Source organism: Homo sapiens, chromosome 14 (assembly GCF_000001405.40).
Source record: "Homo sapiens chromosome 14, GRCh38.p14 Primary Assembly".
NCBI classification, from domain to species: Eukaryota; Metazoa; Chordata; class Mammalia; order Primates; family Hominidae; genus Homo; species Homo sapiens.
Window position 1 is genome coordinate 24,543,201 of NC_000014.9, and position 1,615 is coordinate 24,544,815.

Below are 1,615 nucleotides of genomic sequence, written 5' to 3' on the forward strand. Positions count from 1 at the left end.
TGAAGCCATGGCAGAAGAATGTGGATTTTGAAAATTTCATGGACATTTATTAGTTCCCCAAATTAATATTTTATAACTTCTTATGCCTCTCTTTACTGCAATCTCTAAACATAAATTGTGAAGATTTCATGGACACTTATCACTTCCCCAATCACCACCCTTGTGATTTCCTAGGCCTGTCTTTACTTTAATCTCTTAATCCTGTCATCACGTAAACCAAGGAGGATGTATGTCGCCTCAGGACCATGTGATAATTGCATTAATTGCACAAATTGTAGAGTATGTGTGTTTAAACAATATGAAATCTGGGCACCTTGAAAAAAGAACAGGATAACAGCAATTGTTCAGGAAATAAGACAGATAACCTTAAACTCTGACCACCGGCTGGTGAGCCAGGTGGAACAGGGCCATATTTCTCTTCTTTCAAAAGCAAACGGGAGAAATATCACTGAATTCTTTTTCTCAGCAAGGAACATCCCTGGGAAAGAGAACATGCACCTGGGGGTATAGGTCTACAGATGGCCCCCCTGGGCGTGCCTGTCTTTTATGGTCTATAGACTATAGGCGTGAAATAGACCCCAGTCTCCCATAGCACTTCCAGGCTTATTAGGAAGAGGAAATTCCCACCTAATAACTTTTGGGCAGACGGGTTGCTCTCAAAACCCTGTCTCCTGATAAGATGTTATCAATGACAATGGTGCCTGAAACTTCATTAGCAATTTTAATTTCACCCTGGTCCTGTGGTCCTGTGATCTTGCCCTGCCCCCATTTGCCTTGTGATATTCTATTACCTTGTGAAGTACTTGATGTCTGTGACCCACACCCTATTCATATACTCCCTCCCTTTTTGAAAATCCCTAATAAAAACTTGCTGGTTTTGTGGCTTGGGGGGCATCATGGAACCTACTAACATATGATGTCTCCCCCAGATGCCCAGCTTTAAAATTTCTCTCTTTTGTACTCTGTCCCTTTGTTTCTCAAACTGGCTGATGCTTAGGGAAAATAGAAAAGAACCTACGTGACTATCGGGGCAGGTTCCCTGATACAAGTTTGCATGGTATTTCCAAGCTGGTCTGATTTCTTTCATTGCAAATATTTATACTTAGCAAAACAAAGTCCCTCTTTCATGTAAAAACTCTGTGTGAGACTCTGATTTCTTCCAAATTCAAGAGATACAGATTTAAGAGCACTAAATCTTCCCAACATTTAGGTATTTAGTTCATTTTAAAATTTAGCCACTTGTTAAAAAAGCCTGGGTTGATGCTGAGGAACAATGTCGCTGACTATCAGATGGGCAATTTTAAGTTACCTAGTTAATTTCTTATGATTCTGATTTAGCTCTCAATTAGGAAGACATTTGATCTTATAGTTTATATATTTCCCCTCTGAAGGCACATGTATGTCTACAAAATATCCATTAAACCTCATCTTAACCCAAGGTTGGTTCCTTAGGTCTTCCTTTTTAAAAATTTTTGTGGGTCATAGTAGGTGTGTATATTTGTAGAGTACATGAGATATTTTGATACAGACCTGCAATGTGAAATAAGCACATCATGGAGAATGGGATATCCATCCTCCTCAAACATTCATCCTTTGAGTTACAAACAATGCAATT

General features: G+C 39.1%; 1 annotated feature.

Annotated features, from left to right (window-relative positions):
* Positions 475–1,059: an enhancer, noted in NCBI's record as "OCT4-NANOG hESC enhancer chr14:25012881-25013465 (GRCh37/hg19 assembly coordinates)". NCBI's record gives its function as "activates a minimal SCP1, AML or CMV promoter by ChIP-STARR-seq in naive H9 embryonic stem cells {active_cell/tissue: H9 hESC(naive)}" and the evidence as "EXISTENCE:reporter gene assay evidence [ECO:0000049][PMID:30033119]".